The following is a 20,642-nucleotide window of genomic DNA, read 5'->3' as shown; positions in this document are numbered from 1 at the left end:
AATCCTAATTGGTGGCCAGCTTAAGATGTGGCTATTTTAGACTGGGTGTAGGGGCTCATGCCTGTAGTCCCAGCACTTTGGGAGGCTGAGGCAGGAGGATTGCTTGAGCTGTTTGAGACCAGCCTGGGCAACATGGTGGAACCCCATCTCTACAAAAACTACAAAAATTAGCCGGATGTGGTGGTGCATGCCTGTAGTCCCAGTTACTCCAGGGGCTGAGGTGGGAGGATTATTTGAGCCAGTATCAGGCTACTGCACTCTGGTCTGGGTGACAGAAGGAGACCCTGTCTCAAAAACAAAAAGAATGTGGCTATTTTCAGACAGCATGAACCTTATAGATGCCTTGTGAGTGCTTAGCTACACATTTTAAGATGGAGTCACTCTGGTTGTTTTATTAAACCAGAGGCCTGGTAAGCAGAGGTCCCTAACACTCTCACACCAAAACCACAATCATCAACACAGAAGACTCCTGTGACCAACAGTTGTGGGTTTTTTTCCCCCACACACTAAGCACTGGACACCAGCAGGGTGTCCTCAACTCAATTCCAACACTATCTGCCCAGCGCCAGCCTCAGGTCCCACAGGTGGGGGCTCACAGGACTGCCTCCCCATTCCCCAATCGCAAGTTTGGGCTCCGGAACGTCTGACTGACTGGCTTCAGGTTAGCGTTCCCATGACTCTCCTCTTTGGGGTCAATTAATTTGTTAGAGCGATGCACAGAACTCAGAGAAACACCTTCACTGGTTTATTATAAAGGATGTTACAAAGGATCCAGATGAAGCAATGTGCAGGTTGAGGTGCTGGGGAGGGGCCTGGAGCTCCCATTCATCCCTGTGGTGTCACCCTCTGGGGACACACACGAGTTGAACTAACCCTGTCTCCAAACCGTCCTGTAGGGTTTTGTCAGCATTCCTTTCCCAGGGAACAGGGTGGGGCCCTCTCTGGGGAGGGTCTTAAGACTCCCAATCAGAAAGGCCCGGGGAAGATTGGAGTCCTGCTTTGGGGCACGTGAAAGGAGAAGACAGATTGTTTCCCAGGTCTAACACACCCAAAAGACACAAGGGCCTTCCCCATCATAACACAACACCCTGTCTGGGGTGGGGAGTGATGGGAATAAAAGGTAGACAGACGCTGGGCGTGGTGGCTCACGCCTGTAATCTCAGCATTTTGGGAGGCTGAGGCAGGTGGATCACAAGCTCAGGGGTTCGAGACTAGCCTAGCCAACGTGGTGAAACCCCGTCTCTACTAAATATACAAAAAAACAGCCAGGCATGGTGGTGCATGCCTGTAATCCCAGATACTCGGGAGGCTGAGGCAGGAGAATCCAGGAGGCAGAGGCTGCAGTGAGCCAAGATCACGCCATTGCACTCCAGCCTGGGAGACAGGGTAAGACTCCGTCTCAAAAAAAAACAAAAGGTAGATGGGAGGGAGCAGAAGACAGGCTGCAAGGCGGATTCTCCGAGTGAAATCTGTGAGGCGGAGAGGTGAAGGCCAGTTGAAGAGAGGAGCCCAGGAGGACATTCCCGTGTGGGTAGCAGGCGCAGCCAGCCAGCTCCTCTCCACCACTGGACGCTCCCATTCCTTGTAAAGGCCCTTAAGGAGAACCTGGACCCCACAAGACCACACTTCCAAAAGTGGAGACCCCAGGCTAGGCCAGCGAGTGGCCCTGCTCCGGGAAAATCCCTCCTGACCCCATTCCCACCACAGGAGGTATCGCTGCACTGAATGATACGATGGCCTGCCATCTCCTCGTGTAGTTATCCCACAGGGAGGACAGCGTCGTGGGGTGTGTGGAGACTCCCTCTAGGGGCAAGGACTCGTGCTGGGTCCAGGTGACCTCTGACAGCAGACAGACACCACTGACTGCGCCAGCTGGGGAACTGCGCCACTGCTCACTGAGCATCAGCACGTGAAGGCAACTGTTGTTGTATTTATGAGCTGATGCGCGGTGAGGGCAGGCACACTCCCCAACCTCCCAAGGGCTCCACACTGTGTATCCCCGCTTCATGGATGGGAACACCCAGGTGGAGGCCCCGGGCTTTGCCGGTAGGAGCTGGGGTTTGAACCCAGTGATATGCTCTCTGGAGGACAGGCACCACCCTTAAGAGGATGGTGACTCCTGGTTTCTGGTGGACATCCTGAGCTGGGGCATCAGCTGTGACGGCCCCCACAAACGAGGTGTCCACCCCTGGTCTCTGCAGATGAAGCCTGGATGGAGTATGGATCCAGGCGTCTCCCTGTGGAGACGGCCCCTCCTGTACCTACACACCCCTTGACTTCTGCGTGGCCTGCTGGGCTACCTGAGAACTTCCTGGCCCCCACTGTCCACACTCTTCCTTCGCTCTCCCTCCACAGAAGCACAGGATTTAAAGTTGCCAGTTCTATGTAGGTAAAGACACTGGGATTAATTAATTGGAGACAGAGTCTCACTCTGTCGCCAGGCGATGTGCAGTGGCGCGATCTCGGCGCACTGCAACCTGCGCCTCCGGGTTCAAGCAATCCTCCTGGCTCAGCCTCTCGAGCAGCTGGGACCACAGGCGTGCGCCACCGTGCCCACCTAATTTTGTTTGTATTTTTAGTACAGACAGGGTTTCACCTTGTTGGCCAAGCTGGTCTTGAACTTCTGGGCTCAAGTGATCCACCCCCTTCAGCCTCCCAAAGTGCTGGGATTACAGGCGTGAGCCACCGCCCCCAGCCAGACACTGCGACTGAGAAAGAAATTTTAGCCTGGCCAAGAGCTCTTCCCAGCAATTACCTGTCCAATGCCTCATGACTCACGTCATGAAGAAGAGACAGGTTCTGCAGGGACTGCGATGCTGAGGACCCTGGGAGCGGGGGTAGGGGCTGCAGTGAACCGCAGTGAAGGAAGTCACACGAGGGAAGGGACTTTGGAGGACTCCCCAGGGAGGAGCCACATTCCACAAGTCAAAAGTAGCAATAACTAGAATTACAGCTTAGAAAACACAAATGCAGCGCTAAGACTTGCCGAGGTTCTACGCAGTTCAAAAACTGTTCCTCTCCCATCTACAACAGGAGGAAACTGGGCTTTGATGAGGTTAACGGCCCATGGCCACAGTCAGCAGCGGAGCCCAGGGCTGCTCCTTCGCCTCTCTAGATGCCGAGGCAAAAATCGCACCTCCACCTTCCACCCCTCTCTCAACAGCCCTCAAAGCGCAGCTCGGAGGACTGCAGGGCGGTTTGGCGTCCAGGGCCACCCTCTGGCTCATCTCTCCAACGCCGCCTCCGACACCCGCCCAGCACGACCCAGCCTGGGGTGTCTCTGCAAGGGAGAGGTCAAGTGGGGGGCCCTCACTCTCATGTAAATGTAACTTGGGGCGATGCAGGATAGTGTCCAGCATTCAGGAAACAGGGCCTTGGTGGAAAGAGCGGCCAGCCAGGAGAATCAAGTCTCTAGGCCTTTTCAGAGCCGAAATGCAGCCAAGCAGGAAGGCGGACAGGCGCCCAGGGCTCCTGGGGCAAGGAGCTGCCCCTTCCCTCCTCCTGCGAAGAGCGGTCGCCAACCGCTCCCGTGCCTCCTCTTCTAGCCCAAGGAGTTCGCCCGGGCCATCCCTAAGCCCAACAGCAGCCCCCAGGGCTCTTCACAGGTCATAAGCCCCTCTGAGCGGCGACAGTCCTCGCATCCAGCCCGGGTCAGGGAGCGGGGGTGACTGTCCCCAGCACGGCGGCCAGAAGACCCCAAATGCGGAGCCTGCCCAAGATGGCGGCCACGACTACGCCGCGACAAGACGGCCCCGAGCTCGGTGTGCCCGAGCTTGGAGCCCGCCGGACCGCACCAACACGGGGACCTCCCCTCTGCCAGTCCCAAGACGGCGCCACCGCCTCCAAAGGCCATGCCCGCCGTCGGGATGGCGGCCGCACGCCCCTCGATACCGCCCGCTTCCAGATCACTTAAAATGGCGGCGGCTGCGGGGCGGCACGGGGCGGGGCTGCGCCGGGGGAAGGGACGCGGCGCGGGGCATGCTGGGCCACGCGCGGGCTGCCGGGAACGGGGCGGAGCGCGGCTGCGCCGGCGCGTCGAGGGGAGAGGCAGCAGCCGCGATGGTGAGCGGGCGTGGGGGAGGGGCGGCCGGGCCGGGCCGGGGGCGGCGGGGGGCGGCTGGGCCGCGCGGGGGGCCCGGGCTTCGTGCTCACGCCGGCCCGCCGCCCCCAGGACGTGTTCCTCATGATCCGGCGCCACAAGACCACCATCTTCACGGACGCCAAGGAGTCCAGCACGGTGTTCGAACTGAAGCGCATCGTCGAGGGCATCCTCAAGCGGCCTCCTGACGAGCAGCGGCTGTACAAGGTGGGTCCCGCGGGCGGGCCGAGGGGAGCGGGTACCCGGCGCCGGGCACGGGGCTGACGCCTACGCTGTCCGCGATGTAAACAGTAGCGGCCGGCGACGCCTGCGGGCGCCCGAGCCGCGGGACTGGGACATCCGTTGTGCGGGTGAAGCGCGAGCTGCGCTCGCCGCGGGGATCTCCGGTCCGGGGGCGATGTTTAGACCTCGTGCCGGGCCCCGGGCGCCGAGGGCACCGTGGCATGCAACCCCTGCAACGGTATCGCCCGCGCCGTGCAGTTGACGAAATTGAGGTTCGGCTTGGTCGCTTAACCAGCCAAAGGTCATTGGCAGCGCCAGGGTTCGAACCACGACCCCTTAATCCCCACCCTTCTTCGCAGGCCCATCGGAATCACGCTGTCCCCCCGGACACTCCTTCGGGTGGAGGGTGGGGAACTCAGTGAATGCAAAGAAAGTCAGGTCCCACTCGTTCTTCACCAAGCAACCGTTTGTTATTACCTCCCGACCTCCTGCTGATGTCCTAGAAGCCCCCCTTTCCCCTTGCAAACGAACTGAGATTATTCAGTCAGAATGGCTTGGGGTTTGGGGTCTGCATTGGGGAGTCAGATGCATCAGCCTCTGATTTACGTCTCCCAACATTGTGAGGTTGTCGCCCAAGTGCATTGTTCAGATTCTAGAGCTGGAAACTGGGAAACTGACTTTTAGCTCCAGGCTCAGAGCCTCAGCTCCCATGGTCTCTAAAGGCCTTTCCTCACTCATAACTACTGGGACTTAGCAAATATTAAATGACCGTGCCTGTGCATGTCCCGTGTGCCACATGTCTACTTAGTGCTTTATGTTTCTTCCTAGCTCATTGAAACCCTCTGGTGGCCCTACGAATTGAGAATTCTGGTAATTCCTAGTTTACAGATGAGGAAACTTTGCATCAAAAGGCTCAACTACCAGCCAGCCGTGGTGGCATGGTCCTGTAGTCCCAGCTACTCTGAAGGCTGAGGCAGGAGAATTGCTTGAGCCCAGGAGTTCCAAGCTGGAGGGGGCTATGATAGCGCTTATGTTGGGTCTGTGCCACTGCATGCCTGGGCAACATAGCGAGACCCTGTCTCTAAAATAAAAAAATGTTCAAATGCCTAGTCCAGGGTGACAGAGCTGGGATTGAAAGCCAGGTCTGCCTATCTCCAGATAGCTCAGTGGCTCCTCAAATTAGATTTGCCTGGAGAATTTGGATAAAACCGGATTCTAAAGTCCCACCCTGGGAGGTTTTGATTTAGAAGTTCTTGGATATAACCCTGGAATCTGTGTATTTGTCAAGCAGCGTGGTGGTCCTGGGCCACACTGAGGGAACTCTCTCTTCCCTCCTCTGACTTCCCGTGTAGTTGCTGGTCAGAAGTCTTTGGGACTTGCCCCATGTAGGGCCTCTCCCAAGATCCTGCTTCTCTCCTCAGGATGACCAACTCTTGGATGATGGCAAGACACTGGGCGAGTGTGGCTTCACCAGTCAAACAGCACGGCCACAGGCCCCAGCCACAGTGGGGCTGGCCTTCCGGGCAGGTGAGAGGCCCACCACCCACTGGGCTGGGTGGTAGCCAAGCAGGTTGGGAACACTGTTCCAAAGAAGGTCATCAGGGAGCCTGGAGTTGAAGCCTTCAGGGCAGTGTCTTCCTCGTGCCTAAAGGGCTGGCAATATCCTTTCACAATGTGTTTGTTTCCTCATTTTTTTTTTTTTAAAAAAGAAGCAACCAAATGAGATGCTTACAGAAACCAAAGCTTATTTTGTGAAGCCAGCTCACATTTACAGGAGGCTGAGTGAGTGCCTGGCTCCGTGCTCTGCATGTTACTCTGTGTGTGGCTTCCACTGCCCTGTCTCATCCTCTCAGTAGCCCTGGGAAGTCCACATACCATCATCCGTGTTCTGCAGATGAGGACACAGGCTTACCAGCAGTCACGTAGGGAGCCACGGTTAGGATGCTGACTGCCGGGCCCTTGCTGGAGTCAGACATCATACCAGGCTCTATGCTATGTATCACCGAAACCCTCTGCATCTCTGTGTGGCTGAGATTTGGATTTTGCCAGTTTTCAGGTTCAGTAAAGTGAGCCTGGGGAGGTTAGGTCATCTGCTGGGACTGCCACATCTAGGATTCAGATCCAGAGCCTGGGCTTCCATCAGCCATACCCCACCCCTGCCCAAGCTTTAGAAACCTGGGGATTAGGGAGTGGTTTACTACTCGCCAAGATATCTTCTTCCACCCAAGAGAAAGGGAGGGGAGATTTAAAATATTTTGTCTCTAGGAACTTGAAGAGAGGTTATAGAGCTGTGTTTTCACAGCTGTGGACCCAGCAGCTGTGTGGATGGCTGAGAAAACTTGGATAAAGTTGTAAGGAATTCTTATTTTTCTGCCTGTAAGGGAACATAGCAAAGGCTGAAGAGGAAGAGTAGAGTCCTAGCTCCACCTTTCCGTTCCATAAGTTCAGGCTAGGCCTCAGTCTCAGCAGCTATATCCTCTGGCCAGCTACCTTGCCCTCCTGCCCCTCCTGGCCCCAGTGTTCCCTTCTCCTTAAAGGGGTGTGATGAGACTGGCTTCACAGCAAGGTGGTGTTGAGTCCTCATGCACCCCAGGTCTGGCCTGCTGCCAGTGCCCAACAGATGGGAAGCTTCAGAGCCTTTCTGTGGGCTCTTTCTGCCCAGATGGTGATGTTAAGAGTCAGGTGCAGGGCTGGCATAGACACAGGTCGTGCCTTGTACATGGGTGCATTTTTGTTGTTGTTGTTTCTGAGACAGAGTCGCACTCCGTTGTCTAGGCTGGAGTGCAGTGGCGCCATCTCAGCCCACTGCAGCCGCTGCCTCCCGGGTTCAAGCGATTCTCTTGCCTCAGTGGCCTGAGGAGCTGGGATTACAGGCATGTGCCACCACGCCCAGCTAATCTTTGTGTTTTTAGTAGAGATGGGGTTTCACCATGTTAGTCAGGCTGGTCTCAATCTCCTGACCTCAGGCGATCCATACATCCCAGCCTCCCAAAGTGCTGGGATTACAGGCCTGAGCCTCGGTGCCTGGCCCAGGGGTGCCTGTCTGAAGAGAGCAAGGGAGTGCCAAGAGCATATCTGGTCTGCTTCGTGAACCGAAGCTGGGCTGTGTTCCCCCAGAAGTGTCCCTTTCTCTAATTTCAACAGTGGTACCCCTAGAGGTTTGCTGTGACTTGGAAGATACTGATAGACCCATTTTGCAGATGAGAAAATCAAGGCTAAGGAAGGTGACTTGTTTTTCTCCCACAACCCCTAATATGGCATGGAATGTGGTGGTGACTCCGGAGCCCAGGTCACATCATCCCTCTTGCAGGTGATGGCTGTCTTGATAGGGGGCACAGCATGGGCTGTCAGCTCTTTGCTTCCCCATGGAATGCTTGCAGAAACACACTTCTGGGTGCAGCTCAACCCATCATCATGTTGTTCCCAGGCCTTGAATGGGTGCCCCACCCTCCGCCTCTCCCCTCCCCCAAGCTTACCACTCAAGGAGATGAGTATTTCAAATCAAATGTTAAAGGGCATTGTCCCGGCTCATCACAAAAGAATGAGGGAGGTAGTGAAGGCACGAATTGTCACAGGTTTGTGGCTTGGAAGATGGATTAGTTTCTGAACCTCGGCACAGTGGGCACATTGGGCTGGATTGCTGTGTGGGTTGCCTTGTGCACCATAGCACGTGGAGCCGTATCCCAGGCCTCTACCCACTAGATAGCGCTGGGGCACCCCACCTCCCCATTTGTGACCGCCACAACTGTGATCAGGCATTCCAGCTTTCCCTGGGATGCCTGATCAGTTGAGAACCCTGAGCCAAGCAGAGATGGGTCTCCTAGCTGGAAGAAAGCACAGGAGAAAAGCTGTGGGTTTGTTTGCTGTGTGTTGGGGTGACAGTAGGGACAAGACAGGGAAGGCCTTTGCCTTCCTGGAGCCAGTCAAAAGGGCAGTTTGTCCAGTGGTAAGTGCCCCTACGCCCAGAGTGTCAGGATGTCTTGACTTTTGGGGGTGCGTGGACTGGAGGTTCATCTGAGGAGGTGACCTGAGTTGGACCCTGAAAGTCCAGAAGCAGCCAGCCATTCCGAGTGCTGGGACCAGCAAGTGCGAAGGTCTGAGTTAGGAAAGAACTTACAGAAGAACATAGAGAGCCAGAGCCTCAGAGCGTGGGAAGCAGAGGGAGAGACAGACGGCAAGGACTTGGTGGTATTCAGGTCATGATGGGAAGCCACTGGATGGTTTTCAGCAGGGGAGGAATAGTCTAGATAGTCTAGTTTGATTTTTTTTTTTTGAGATGGAGTCTGTGTCGCCCAGGTTGGAGTGCAGTGGCGCGATCTCAGCTACTGCAAGCTCCGCCTCCCGGGTTCACGTCATTCTCCTGCCTCAGCCTCCCGAGAAGCTGGGACTGTAGGTGCCCGCCACCATGCCCGGCTAATTTTTTTTTTTTTTTTTTTTTTGTATTTTTAGTAGAGATGGGGTTTCACCGTGCTAGCCAGGATGGTCTTGACCTCCTGACCTCATGATCTGCCCGTCTCGGCCTCCCAAAGTGTGTGAAGGGAACAAGGAGATATATTCTGGGTGAAGGGTGATGCTGGCTGCAGATGGTGAGCCCTCAGACTCACTAGTGGACATGGAAGATGAGGAAAGGGGCCCCAGCATGGTCAGTGGGAAGGGCTGGGGACCTTCAGGTTGGGCCCACAGGGGTAGGAGACATTACCGTGGGGCCACGGGGGTAGCTGGAACAGGGAGGTCAGCGCTGTGGAGACTACAGCCGTGTGGAGGGGCGTTCGCATGGAGATCCCCAAAGCTGCAGATGATCACACGTGAACACCAAGGCCCCAGCTGGGGCAAGAGCTGGAATACCCCCCTGCAGCTCTGCTGCTTCCTCCACAGATGACACCTTTGAGGCCCTGTGCATCGAGCCGTTTTCCAGCCCGCCAGAGCTGCCCGATGTGATGAAGCCCCAGGACTCGGGAAGCAGTGCCAATGAACAAGCCGTGCAGTGAGGACCCCCAAGAGGCCCATTTCCCCCAATAAAAGAGATTTGGGAGTCTGCCTGGTTGCTGCCTCTTTTTCCCGCCCCTCCCTGGGATGGGTCCCACTCCCTGTGGGCTCCTTTTGGGGCTTGTGCTTGGCAGTTCCTGTGCTGTCCTGTCTCCCAGATCCTGAGACCCTGGCTGAGAACTTGGCCCAGCCTGCTGCTTAAAGGCACCATGGGGACCTGGGTTGCCCTGAGACCCAAGCCATTGTTAGCAGCTAGCCAGCCACACCAACCACGCCAGGGGGAGGAAAGGGAAGGACTGGGAGAGACACAAAGACCAGAGCCAGCCTCAGGGACAAGAGATTCCAGTTTTAGGCCTTTCTCCTTCTAAGTGCCCCCCACCCCCATAGCCTGCATGTCCACTCCCAGACGATGGCCAAGAGCAGAAACACAAGCTGGAGCCAGTGTCCTGGTTTGACAGCATGTTCAACGAGGGAACCCCAAGACGGACCCACACAGGTCCACCCACGCTGGGGGCTGTAATCACGGAGGGAAGTGGCTGCCCCCTTAACACACCTTTAATAAACAGTCTACAGACCCAGTTCCTGCATTTCTCATTTTTATTTGACAGAAAAAGTTGCTCTTGCTGTACAGATTTTAAAAAACCAAAATGCCTTTAAGAAACATGAAAAGTTGGGGGGAGGGGTTCACAACCTCATGGGGGACAGTAGGGACCAACTAATTCCAACTCCTGCCCCTTCCTTCCAAGAACACCTTATACAACCTCCAGTCCCAACCACCATCACAATCACCCCTGGGAACTTCTGGATACAAGTGGGGCCATGCCTCCCTGGCCCTGACTCCAGGCTGGGGTATCCTGAACTGTATCCTCCCCTCCCCCAACTCCCATCTGCATTCCCTCCCACCCCAAACCCCCCAGAACACATGAACCAGGAAGAACTCACGGAGATTAACATTTCACAGGAACAAAGAAAAAAAAAAGGGGAGGGAAAGGGAGCCCTCCATCCAAGGGCTGCCAAGGTTCAAAGGAGAGCAGACAAGGACCCTCCCACGGCTCTGCTGGGGAAGAAGGGACACTCCTTGTGGCTCCAGAGCATTGGGTGTGGTGGAATCCCCCAAAGACAATTTATGGAGACCTGCAAGAGAAGATATGGGTCAACAGGGAGTTCCCACCCCAGCCCTCAAGGCCAGTTTCTGGGCCACTCCCAAAATGGGGCCGCCACCCACCACCACAACTGGCTCCCGGAAGGGGGCATCAGCCTTCCAGGACACGCACCTGGAGGAGCGGTGTCTCATGGGCCGAGGGCTAGGTGTCTCCCTCCTGCGCTTGTGGCTGGGGGAGCGGCTGTCCCCACGCTGGCCTCTCCGGGAACCCCGCTCACTGCTGCTGCTGCAACACAGGACAGACATCAGGCCACAGGGTGGCACCACCTCAGGCACCACATAGCCACAACCGCAAAGCTTTCTTCTTTGTAGAAAGCAGTGGCGGCCAGACAGGCTGGGTGCTGACACCTGCAGTTGGCCTTACCTCTGCTGGTCCCGTGGTGAGGGCTGGGGCGAGGGACGGCGACGCTCCACAGGCGAGTAGCTGAGGGACCGAGAGTCCCTGAGGGAGTCTATTGGCTTCCGGGGGCTGCGGGACCTGGGGAACACAGTAGGACCCAATAGCACCACACCCTTTCAAGCACACGGGCCAGCACTCAGGACCACCCGCCCAGGTCCTGACCACCAAACCTCACACCACACAGGGCCAGCCTCAGACCCACCTTTGTCCGCTCACTCACCCATCCGCCCGCACACCATCCACCGAGTGCCCAGTGGGCAGGCACAGGGTGCAGCGGGGGATGCAAAGATAAAGACAGTCCCTGCCCTTGAAGGAGCTCAGTGGTGAAGAAAGGCACGCACGGCCCCGTGTGTGGGAAGCAGGGCTGGATGTGCGTGGCTCTGGGGACCCAAGGGAGGGGGACATGGGGCAAGGCAGGGAAGGGGCAGGGCAGTCTTCTCGAAGGTGCTGTTTTGAGCGGAGTCTTGCAGAACGAGGAGTTCACCAGGCGGACAAGGAAATTCCAGGCAGAAGGAACAGCATGTCCAAAGGCATGGGCTCTCCTTAGACTGCAAGGCGCTGGGTGTGGCTGGAGCACAGGGCATGTGTGGGGGCGGGCAGGAGGAGAACACAGGGCGGGCAAGGCCCGTTGGTGAAGAGCCTCACACGCCACTCCCGCAGAGGTGGGGCTTTGTCCTGCAGGCCACAGGGCGTCCCGAAGGATTTGTGGAGTGGAGGGAAGTAGCCAGATGTGCGTTTTAGAAAGGTCCCTCTGGCTACATGTGGAAGAGAATGGCGTGGAGACGGGGAGACAGGGAGGAGGCTGTGGACAGAGTCGGGAGAAGATGATGGTGGCCAGACCAGAGCCCTGGCAGTAGCAACAGGGAGACAAAGCTAGAACCCTGGGAACAGGCTATGTGTTGAGGGAGGGAGAGGAAGAAACCAAGGACCCCCTGGTCCTGGCCTGAGCGCCGCTGTGGATGGCGCAGCCCTTCGCCAGAACAGGGTGCAACGAGCATGGGGAGAGGAGAGCAAGTGCCTCCTCCCCCACAACCAGATGCCCAAGGCCACGTGAGACACCCAGCGGGGAGCTCACACCCCAGGGCCCCTTCTCTGGACAAGTCACTCCCCCACCCACCTTTCAACTCAGGCAAGACAGCACTCACCTCCGCTCGCCAGGGGGTGGCTTCTTGGGGCTTGCAGGTTTGGGCAAGGCCTGAGGGCCAGGCTTAGCAGGGGAAGGGGAGGAAGACGACGAGGAGGAGGAAGATGAGGAGGAAGAAGAAGAAGAGGAAGAGGAGGAGGAAGAAGAGGAGGAGGAGGAGGAGGAGGAAGATGAAGAGGAGGAGCTGGAACTGGAACTGCTAGAGCGCCTCTTCCGTTTGGCTGGGGTTGGCTCCGGAGGACGTCCCTCTCGAACAGCCTCCTTTGGGGCTGGGGTGGGGCTGGGGACCCTGTGGGAGGAGAGGAGTGTCACAAGGAGACAAGCTGCCCCAGCCCCAACCCTACCTTCCTTGGCCTGGAGGAACGGCAGTGGGGGGAGGGGTGCCTGAGAAAGGCGCTGGGAGCTCTCCGAGCCACGTGAGCCAGCAATTCTCTGGAGAGCAGTGGTGCGAGCTGACCCAACCTCTGCTAACAGAAGCAACAGGCTGGGGCCCGCAGCATAAGGGATCAAGGTTAAACCTCAAGAATGTCCCTGATGGAGGAATAAGGCCTCTGGGCTCAGGTGTGGAAGCTGAAGCTGGGTAGTCTCCTTCCTCGGAGAGCCGCAGCTTGGGGAGGCCCCTGTGAGTGCAGGTTGGCTGGGGAAGGGGCCGTCCTGCCTGGAGGCAGGGAGAGGGATGGGATGACCTCTGAAGATCCTTCCAGCCCAGGGAGTTCCTCTTGAGGTCTAACTGCCATCCCTCCTGCTGTAAAATTAAGTCCATTTCCTCTAGTTCTGTCCTCTGTAGAGACGGAAAACTTATCATTATCCTCTAGAGAATGAACCTTCGGAGACTTTTATCTGTCCCATTCCTCCTCCCTCCGCCCCCTGCCCCAGCATTCTCTTCTACCCCCAGCTTGAGGGTCAAGGTCCCCATACCTCCTCCAAGAGCCAAGCACCTGTGACATGGTTTCTCCCTCCCCACTCCCCAACCCATCCCCAATACCTCCCCCACTGAAGATTTCTAAAAGTCAAGCTCCCTCACCTCTTCAGTGCCACCTCAGGTTGCACAGGAAGGCTAGAGCCCTCTGAGTCACTAGAACTGGAGCCAGAGGAGGAGGAGGACGACGACGACGATGATGAAGAAGAGGAGGAGCTAGAGGACGACGACGACGAGGAGGAACTCCGCCGCTCCTTTGCTGGCTGCAGGGCGGCTAATGCAGAAGGCTGCTGGGCCCCAGTAGAGGCAGGTGGCTCCCCCACATCAGAGTGGGGCACCCCAGGGGCAGGGACAGAGAGCATGCCATTGTGATCACCAGCAGAGGACGTGGTCGTTGCCACTGCCCCAGAGGAAAGGGACTGAGACCCTGCTACAGGGGTGGTCTGGGCAATCAAACAACGGGATTGGTCTGAAAAAGCAGAAGGCACAGGAGACCTCGGCTGATCCTGTGCTGGAGGGAGAAGAGACTGTGAAGGAGCCTGGCCCATTCTAGAGGAAGGGGAGGGAGCCCGTTCAGAGGTCATCCTAGATTGGCTTGGGGCAGACGGTGGTGTTCTGGACCTAGCTCGGTCAAGGAGCGGTGGTGAGGTTCTGCCACTGACACGCTCGTAGGCAGAAAGGGGCACCCTGGGGCTGGTGAGGTTTGCACCAGACAATGCTGGAGCCATCCTAGCACTGGTGAGGCTCGCGGGGGCCAAGGCTGCGGCGGTTCTGGAGCCGGCAATATTCACAGGAGCTGTGGCATGTGCAGACCGAGGACCCACCAGGTTTGCAGAGGCTGGAGCCTGTGGTGTTCTGGAGCTGGAGGGATAGTTTGCAGCAGTTGGTGGTGTGCCAGAGCCTGTGAGACTCAGAGCTGCCAAGGCAGCTGGGGTTCTGGCCCCTGCTAGGTTCACAGCTGGGGCTGTGGGAGTGCGAGGGTCAGCCAGGTTCACAGCCGAAGGTGCCACCGCTGTTCTGGGGCTGGCCAAGTTCATGGCCGCTGCTGCAGCTGGCGTTCGAGAGTCAGCCAGGTTCACTGCTGTTGGAATGGCAGGTGTCCTGGCGCTGGCTAGGTTCATGGCTGCCGCAGAGGCTGCAGGAATCCTGCTGGCAAGGTTGGCTGCTGGTGCGGTTCTGAGACTCATGAGAGGCACCGGGGCTGGAACCTGGGACATTCTTGCAGCAAGGCCAGCAGCAGACATGGACGGAGGAGGCCGAGCGGTGCCAAGACTGATAGCTGTCAGGGCAAGTGCAATCCTGGACTGAGCATGATTTTCTGGCACAGATGTTCTCTGGTGGTCAGGTATTCGGGGACCTGGACCATCCATCATGGAGCCGCCGGCTTGCTGCAGGACAGACATGGGTGTTCTAGAGCTGCCAAGGGGTTCAAGCATTCCAGGTGATCTGCAGCGATCAAGAGGTGTTGGGGACATGCTAGGACGACTGAAGCAGCTCATTCTGGAACTGTTGAGTGCTACTGGAGGTGTCCGTGAACCAGAATGATTTCTTGTTGCTGGAGGAGTAGCAGATCGTGAACGATCAGAACTACTTCCAGATGCAGAACGCCTGCGGATGGCTGGAGGAGATCTTGTTAAGGACCGTTTACCCCGAGCTGTTCGTGGAGTACGGGATCTGGAGCGGCGGCGGATAGCAAGTGGTGAGCGACTTCGAGAACGTTTGCGTGGTAACAGTGGCGTTCGAGATCTAGAGCGGCGCCGAATAGCTGGAGGTGTCCGGGACCTAGAGCGGCGGCGTGTCACTGGTGAGGTTCGAGAGCGGGACCTTCTTCGAGTTACTGGAGATGTGCGAGATCGAGATCTCCTTCGGGTGACCGGAGATGTTCTGGATCTTGATCTTCTGCGAGTGATAGGCGAAGTTCTGCTTCGAGATCGCCTCCTGGTTACTGGTGGAGTCCTGGATCTGGACCTTCTGCGAGTCACTGGTGGAGTTCTAGAACGGGAGCGGCGGCGTGTTGTTGGCGTTCTAGACCTTGAACGACGGCGGGTTACTGGTGGCGTTCTGGATCTGGATCGCCTTCTGCTCACTGGGGATGCTCTTGACCGGGATCTTCGTCGAGTCACTGAAGTCCTGGACCTTGACCGTCTCCGGCTGACTGGTGAAGTTCGAGATCTGGACCTACGTCGGCTTATCAGGGGGGTTCTGGACCTGGATCGCCGGTGAGTGGCTGGAGAGGCTCGAGATCTAGAGCGTTTCCACGGGGCTGGTGATGTGCGTGAGCGAGAACGCTTCCGACTGGTTGGGGGTGTCCGAGAGCGGCCTCTTCGGCGTCGAGAGGAGGTCCGGGAACTTTCCTGCCGGGCAGGTGACCTTGAGTGATAACCAGAGCCTCCCCTCCGCCGCCGAGTAACCCGCGACCTTGACCGGCTCCGCTGTCTTCGCCGAGAGGTTGACTGAGAAGATCCAGACCTATCTCGACGTCGGGTTGTTCTTGTTTTCTCTCTCCTTGAGCGGGAACGGGACCTCTGGAGTCCACGAGGCTTTGGCGAAGGAGAGCGGCCTCTCCTTGAGGTTGTCTTAGTGCGTGGAGATGAAGCTGAGCGCCGTCGGCGTGAAGACCTCGATTTTTCGGCTGGCTCCGGGGAAGACACTGAGGGACTTCTCCGGTGCCTTGGGGGAGTTCTAGAGCGAGTTTCTGGTGAGGATGAGGCAGAGCGGCTTCTACGGGACAGTCTGGCCTTCCTTGTTAGCTCCGGAGATGATCGAGAGCTGCGACGTCGAGGTGGTGTACGAGACTTGGTCTTGGGCTCTGGTGATGACCTGGAACCTCTGCGAGCAGTTCTGGATTTGGGCGGATGTTCAGGAGAGGACTCGGTACTGCTGCTTCCTTCAGGAGAAGGGCCTCTGCCTTTGCTTGATGAACCTGATCTGCTTCGTCTGGGAAGGGCCCGAGGGGCTGGAGCTTTAGGTTCAGGAGAGGAATCAGAACCACTCTGTGCCCTGGGTGCTGCTCTTGGCTTATCTTTCACTTCAGGGGAGGAACCAGACCTACTGCGCCGAGGGGATAGTCGAGATTTGCTGTCAACCTCTGGAGATGATCCAGACCGACTCCTCTGCCGAAGTGGGGTTCTTGTCTTGGCTTTAGAATCTGGAGAAGAGTCTGACTCACTTCTTTCCTGAGGGGATGCACTGGGTTTCACATCAAGTTCTTGAGAGGATCCCGAACGACTTCTCTGCCCCAGGGGAGTCCGAGCCACAGTTTTCTGATCAACTGATGATTCTGACCCGCTTCTTTCTCTCTGGGGGGTAAGACACTTGTTGTTGAGCTCTGGGGATGATGGAGAACGACTCCTCGGCCTAGGAGTCTGAGGCAAAGCTTTCGGTTCTGGGGAAGAATCACATTCGCTTCTCCCTCTAGATGGCGTTCTAGGTATATCTTTCATTCCAGGAGAGGACCCAGACAGGCTGTGCCTCGAGGGAGTCCCAGACCCATCTCTAAGTCCTGGAGAAGACCCAGACCTGCTTCTCCTTGATGGAGTTCTGGGTAAACCATCTTTCATTTCAGGAGAAGATGCAGAACTACTTCTTTCTCTCGAGGGTGTTCTGGGTACAGCATCAAGCACAGGTGAAGAGATGCTCTGATTTGAAGACATCCCTGCCTTTTCCACTGCATCTGGGGATAACTCAGAACTGCTGTGTCCAGAGGATCTTGTCGATTGTTCTTTCATGTCTAGAGATGGATCTGTTTCCAGCTGATTAAGAAACGGTCCATTCAAATCTTCTTTAACCTCAGAAGAAAATCCAGTATTCATTTCTGTACCAAGTGGGCCTGAGTTTCTAAATTCTAAAGGTGATCCAAAGCTGTTCTCCCTGAGTGGGGAGTTAGACAGTTCTTTATGTTCTGGAGAAAAATGTGGCCCACCCCAAGATGAGGCCATTGAAGGGACTTCTACTGCTTCCAAAGAAGCCTGTGACTGGCTCTGATCAAGAGTCAAAGACACAGCAGGCCTTTCTTCTACTTCAGGAGATGATTCAAAGTTACTTGTGGACATTTCTTTAAGTTCTGAAGACAAATGAGACAGGATTTGGCCTGCGGGTTCTTCAGACTTCTCTACCACCTCCATTAACTCTTCATCTTGGCTTGACGTAGGCAATGCACTATTTTGCTCTTTTGTTTCTGGAGATGACCCAGCACCACTTCTTTCCCTTGGCGGGGTTCTAAGTGTGTCTTTGAATACCAGTGAAGACTCAGGCCTATCCTGTACTGGAAAGGGACTAAATTTGTCTTTCTGTCTAGGAGGTGATGCAGTAGCATCCTCCTGAGGGGGTAAGGCCATTTTCTCTTTTGATTCAGCAGTCTCCAATCTACTCTGCCCCAAGAGAGAATTCGAGTCCACTGTAGGATATGAAGAAGAGTCAGACTGGAACCTGCTCTGCTCAGGAGACATTCCAGATTTCAACATAGGACTCGCTGAGAACTCACCTCTATCTTGTCTTATTGGAGATCTGGATGCCAGCTCAGTGACTGGAGATGAAGACCTGGACCGACCTCCCTTAGGTGATGTTTGAGATTTGCTCTGCAGAGATGGTGATTCTGAATGACTCTGTCTCACTTCTGGACTTGAAGTATCAGATCTGTGGTCTGGTGAAGTTTGAGATTGTCCTTTCAGTTGCAGAGATGAGACACCAAAATAGCTCTCGCCTGGTGGTGTGCTAGATTTTACTCCTGCACAGAGAGAGAGGGATCCAGGGCAACTTTGAACTAGTGAGTCTTTAGACTTCTCTTGGGGACATGGTGACTTTGATCCAGAAAGACTTGGCCCCGGTGGAGTTTGGGCCTTTACTTTGGGGTATGGTGAAATAGACCCTGAGTGACTTTGTCTTGGCGGTGTTTCAGGTTTCACTTTGGTATCTGGTGAGGAGGACCCAGAATGACTGTATCTTGGCAACAATCTGGATTCCACATTGGAGCAGGGAGATACTGATCTGCTTCGCCGTGGAGTTGTTCTCGACGTCACCCTACTAGGACTTGGAGAAGAGGAGCCAGAATGGCTTCTTTGTCTTGGTGATATTATTGCCTTCACTTTGGGTTGTGGAGATGATGACCTAGATGGGCTCTGTCTGGGAGGTGTGCTAGATTTCACTCTAGGAGGAGAGGACCCTGAGCAGCTATGTCTAGAAGGGGTCCTAGATTTCAACTCAGGGTCAGGTGATGATTCAAAACAGCTCCGTCTCTGTGGCGTTACAGATTGCTCATTGGCCTGGGGACTTGTTATGGACCCTTGCCTCGGTGGTGTTCCAGATTTCACTTTAGGATGAGGAGATGAACTGGAATGACTTTGTCTTGATGGTGTCTTAGATTTCTGTTTAGGTGGCGGAGAAGAACTGGAGCGACTGCGTCTGGGTGGCGTTCTAGATTTAGCTTTAGGTTGGGAGGATCCAGAGCGACTGCGCCTGGGTGGTGTCTGTGACTTTTGTTTAGGGCATGGGGAAGACCCTGAAAGGCTGCGCCTCAAAGACAAGCGAGATTTTGCTTTGGACCGTGGTGAAGAGAGAGACCTGCTCCGCCTTGAAGAAATGCGAGATTTCTTCATTTCTGGGCTTGAATTGGACCTGCTTCTTCTTTGAGATGTTCTGGATTTGTTTTTCCGCTCTGAAGATGAGCCAGATCTGCCTCTTCTTTGAGGTGTTCTAGAGTGAGATCTTCCACGTCTAACTAAGCTTCTACTGCGGGATCTTCCTCGTCTTGGTGTCCTAGACCGAGACCTCCCTCTCCTGGCTGGTGTTCTGGAGCGTGAGCGACCACTGCGTCTAGCTGGGGTTCTAGAGCGTGAGCGGCCACGTCTGGCTGGGGTTCTGGAGCGTGAGCGGCCACGTCTAGCTGGGGTTCTAGAGCGTGACCTGCCACTTCTCCTGGCTGGTGATCTACTACGAGACCTGCGTCGTACTGGTGATCGGGTCCTAGATCTGCGCCTAGCAGGTGTTCTAGACCGAGACCTGCCCCTCCGGGCTGGTGTTCTAGACCGAGACCTACGCCTGGTGGGAGTTCTGGATCGTGATCTCCGCCTGGCAGGTGTTCTAGAGCGGGACCTGCCCCGGCGGGCTGGTGTTCTAGAACGAGATCTACCCCTAGTGGCTGGGGATCTAGAGTGGGACCTCCCTCGCCTTGCTGACCTAGACCTGCCTCTTCTCTGGGTATTTCTGCTCCTAGACCAGCCTGGTCGCTGAGGAGACCTAGAGCGGCCACGTCGCTGGGGGCTTCTAGATCTTCCCCACCTCTGTGCAGACCTGGACCTACGCCACTGGGGAGATCGGGATCGAGAATGACCTCTCTTGGTAGGGGTTCGAGACCGAGATCGCCCTCTCTTAGCGGTGGCAGGGCTACGGGACCTCCCCATCCTACGGGAGGGGGTATGAGAATGTGATTTATCCCGTTTTGCTCGGCCATGTGAGCGATTCTTAGATGTGGGAGAAGAAGAAATCTCTCGGTGGGACCCTGGAGCTGGAGCAGGTTTAGGACTTTCTGGGGAAGAGCTGGCATGCCGAGAAACTTTGGTAGGTTGAGGGGATGGTGGGCTGCTCTCTGAGGAAGAAGACTGGGGAAGTTTCTCGGGAGACTTAGGTGGTGAACGGTCCCGAGTTGGAGAGGCCTCAGATGGGGGGTTCACTGGCTCCTGGCTTAAGGGGGTGGTTGCAAGGGGTTGTGGGGAGCCGCCATGTCGCTCAGCAAGGAGCGGAGTGGGAGCAGGTGGTTCTGGGCCTGTGCTGCTCCTTTCCGGAGAGGGGCTAGGTCGAGTTGCAGATTTCTAAGAGTGGAAGAGAGAGCAGGGATAGGGATTCATAAACGCCAAAACTTCACATCACCCCTAAGATCCCAACACCCTTTCCAATGATAACTTTTCTTTTACACACCCTCTGACCACAAGCGATCACTTTCATTCAATAACAAGGAATCATATAAAGCACAGTGGTGAAAACATATGAATATATGGATAGCCAGAATCTTAAAACTAAAAGAAACACAAAATGCAAATAACTAATGCACTACTACATTTAACAAATACCACTACAAAATGTTATAAGAATGGAAAAAAACTATCTTTAAATGGAAAAATAAGCAGTTTCCTAAAGCGAATGGCAACTTCACCTTTGAAGAATAACTCTATTAAACGAAAAGAAACAGCATGAATAAAGATGTGAGAACATGATTTGTGTGAAGAGTAAAAAAGCAGCCCAGGATGGGTAGAGTACAGGAAATGAGAAAAAGACCAGACTATTAAAAGCCTTAAATATAATTCAAAAGCAATAAGGAAGTAGTTAAGTTTCTGAGGTCAACCAACTTGTAATTTGGAAAGGTAACCCTGGATGACATGGAAAATTGATGATAGAGGCCAAGAATTCAGACTGTAATCACTAAAGCAAGAGGAAATGATTAATGCTTAAAATTGGAACAGAAGACTACTGAAGACTATTTCAGTGTTTCATTCAAACTATTGGTGGCAACGCAATGGATTAAAAAGTTTTGGTGAGACATGACCAGCATTTAATGAAAAAAGAGAAGAAACTAGAGGCATCATACGGAGTACACAGATAAGATACAACGTTTGTTCCAGTTCTATCTATGTATAAACAAGACACAATATAAAACCTAACATCCAGTGAGATTTGATTCTAAAGGGTTCACAATTCAGTCTAGTAACAACACTAAAA

At 55.3% G+C, this 20,642-nt stretch overlaps 2 protein-coding genes across 3 annotated transcripts in view, besides 9 other annotated features; one reads left to right on the top strand and one right to left on the bottom strand.

The window, feature by feature from the left end:
• Positions 1,173-2,106: an enhancer, noted in NCBI's record as "H3K27ac-H3K4me1 hESC enhancer chr16:2829194-2830127 (GRCh37/hg19 assembly coordinates)". NCBI's record gives its function as "activates a minimal SCP1, AML or CMV promoter by ChIP-STARR-seq in primed H9 embryonic stem cells {active_cell/tissue: H9 hESC(primed)}" and the evidence as "EXISTENCE:reporter gene assay evidence [ECO:0000049][PMID:30033119]".
• Positions 2,107-3,041: an enhancer, noted in NCBI's record as "NANOG-H3K27ac-H3K4me1 hESC enhancer chr16:2828259-2829193 (GRCh37/hg19 assembly coordinates)". NCBI's record gives its function as "activates a minimal SCP1, AML or CMV promoter by ChIP-STARR-seq in primed H9 embryonic stem cells {active_cell/tissue: H9 hESC(primed)}" and the evidence as "EXISTENCE:reporter gene assay evidence [ECO:0000049][PMID:30033119]".
• Positions 3,689-3,828: an enhancer, noted in NCBI's record as "active region_10283". NCBI's record gives its function as "activates an Ori minimal core promoter by ATAC-STARR-seq in GM12878 lymphoblastoid cells {active_cell/tissue: GM12878}" and the evidence as "EXISTENCE:reporter gene assay evidence [ECO:0000049][PMID:35858748]".
• Positions 3,899-4,028: a silencer, noted in NCBI's record as "silent region_7073". NCBI's record gives its function as "represses an Ori minimal core promoter by ATAC-STARR-seq in GM12878 lymphoblastoid cells {active_cell/tissue: GM12878}" and the evidence as "EXISTENCE:reporter gene assay evidence [ECO:0000049][PMID:35858748]".
• On the top strand, positions 4,019-9,885 carry ELOB (elongin B). 2 transcript variants are annotated; one of them, NM_207013.3, is made up of 5 exons: positions 4,019-4,062; positions 4,172-4,306; positions 5,743-5,848; positions 9,197-9,305; positions 9,695-9,885. In NM_207013.3, the coding sequence occupies exons 1-5, from the start codon at positions 4,060-4,062 to the stop codon at positions 9,825-9,827; spliced, it is 486 nt and encodes a 161-aa protein (NP_996896.1). In that variant the 5' UTR covers positions 4,019-4,059; the 3' UTR covers positions 9,828-9,885. The 2 variants fall into 2 exon arrangements, with proteins under 2 accessions (NP_996896.1, NP_009039.1); NM_007108.4 differs by having other exon boundaries at positions 9,197-9,885.
• Positions 8,078-8,230: a silencer, noted in NCBI's record as "fragment chr16:2823070-2823222 (GRCh37/hg19 assembly coordinates)". NCBI's record gives its function as "represses an EF-1alpha promoter that drives an FKBP-Casp9 reporter gene in an ReSE screen in phorbol 12-myristate 13-acetate-treated (for megakaryocytic differentiation) K562 erythroleukemia cells {active_cell/tissue: K562(+PMA)}" and the evidence as "EXISTENCE:reporter gene assay evidence [ECO:0000049][PMID:32094911]".
• Position 9,886: 1 nt separating the features above from the next.
• Positions 9,887-20,642, bottom strand: part of SRRM2 (serine/arginine repetitive matrix 2) — an 18,775-nt gene continuing 8,019 nt past the window's right edge. Inside the window, exons 11-15 of the mRNA NM_016333.4 lie at positions 13,038-19,738; positions 12,015-12,302; positions 10,834-10,947; positions 10,582-10,695; positions 9,887-10,441 (exon numbers count right to left, since the gene is read on the bottom strand). Coding sequence (NP_057417.3) covers positions 10,432-10,441; positions 10,582-10,695; positions 10,834-10,947; positions 12,015-12,302; positions 13,038-19,738 — 7,227 coding nt within the window. The 3' untranslated portion in view covers positions 9,887-10,431. The remainder of the gene's footprint in view (positions 10,442-10,581; positions 10,696-10,833; positions 10,948-12,014; positions 12,303-13,037; positions 19,739-20,642) is intronic.
• Positions 10,178-10,880: an enhancer, noted in NCBI's record as "H3K4me1 hESC enhancer chr16:2820420-2821122 (GRCh37/hg19 assembly coordinates)". NCBI's record gives its function as "activates a minimal SCP1, AML or CMV promoter by ChIP-STARR-seq in naive H9 embryonic stem cells {active_cell/tissue: H9 hESC(naive)}" and the evidence as "EXISTENCE:reporter gene assay evidence [ECO:0000049][PMID:30033119]".
• Positions 10,615-10,754: an enhancer, noted in NCBI's record as "active region_10282". NCBI's record gives its function as "activates an Ori minimal core promoter by ATAC-STARR-seq in GM12878 lymphoblastoid cells {active_cell/tissue: GM12878}" and the evidence as "EXISTENCE:reporter gene assay evidence [ECO:0000049][PMID:35858748]".
• Positions 10,881-11,584: an enhancer, noted in NCBI's record as "H3K4me1 hESC enhancer chr16:2819716-2820419 (GRCh37/hg19 assembly coordinates)". NCBI's record gives its function as "activates a minimal SCP1, AML or CMV promoter by ChIP-STARR-seq in naive and primed H9 embryonic stem cells {active_cell/tissue: H9 hESC(naive and primed)}" and the evidence as "EXISTENCE:reporter gene assay evidence [ECO:0000049][PMID:30033119]".
• Positions 11,585-12,287: an enhancer, noted in NCBI's record as "H3K4me1 hESC enhancer chr16:2819013-2819715 (GRCh37/hg19 assembly coordinates)". NCBI's record gives its function as "activates a minimal SCP1, AML or CMV promoter by ChIP-STARR-seq in primed H9 embryonic stem cells {active_cell/tissue: H9 hESC(primed)}" and the evidence as "EXISTENCE:reporter gene assay evidence [ECO:0000049][PMID:30033119]".

This window comes from Homo sapiens, chromosome 16 (genome assembly GCF_000001405.40).
Source record: "Homo sapiens chromosome 16, GRCh38.p14 Primary Assembly".
NCBI classification, from domain to species: domain Eukaryota; kingdom Metazoa; phylum Chordata; class Mammalia; order Primates; family Hominidae; genus Homo; species Homo sapiens.
This window is presented reverse-complemented; position numbering and strand designations above follow the sequence as displayed.

What these genes read in the sequence shown, in the direction of transcription:
- ELOB (NM_207013.3), top strand. An exon ending in GGGGCTGGCCTTCCGGGCAG is followed by an intron (nt 5,849 to 9,196) that starts GTGAGAGGCCCA and finishes CTTCCTCCACAG; the next exon opens with ATGACACCTTTGAGGCCCTG. An exon ending in GCCAATGAACAAGCCGTGCA is followed by an intron (nt 9,306 to 9,694) that starts GTGAGGACCCCC and finishes CCACCCCCATAG; the next exon opens with CCTGCATGTCCACTCCCAGA.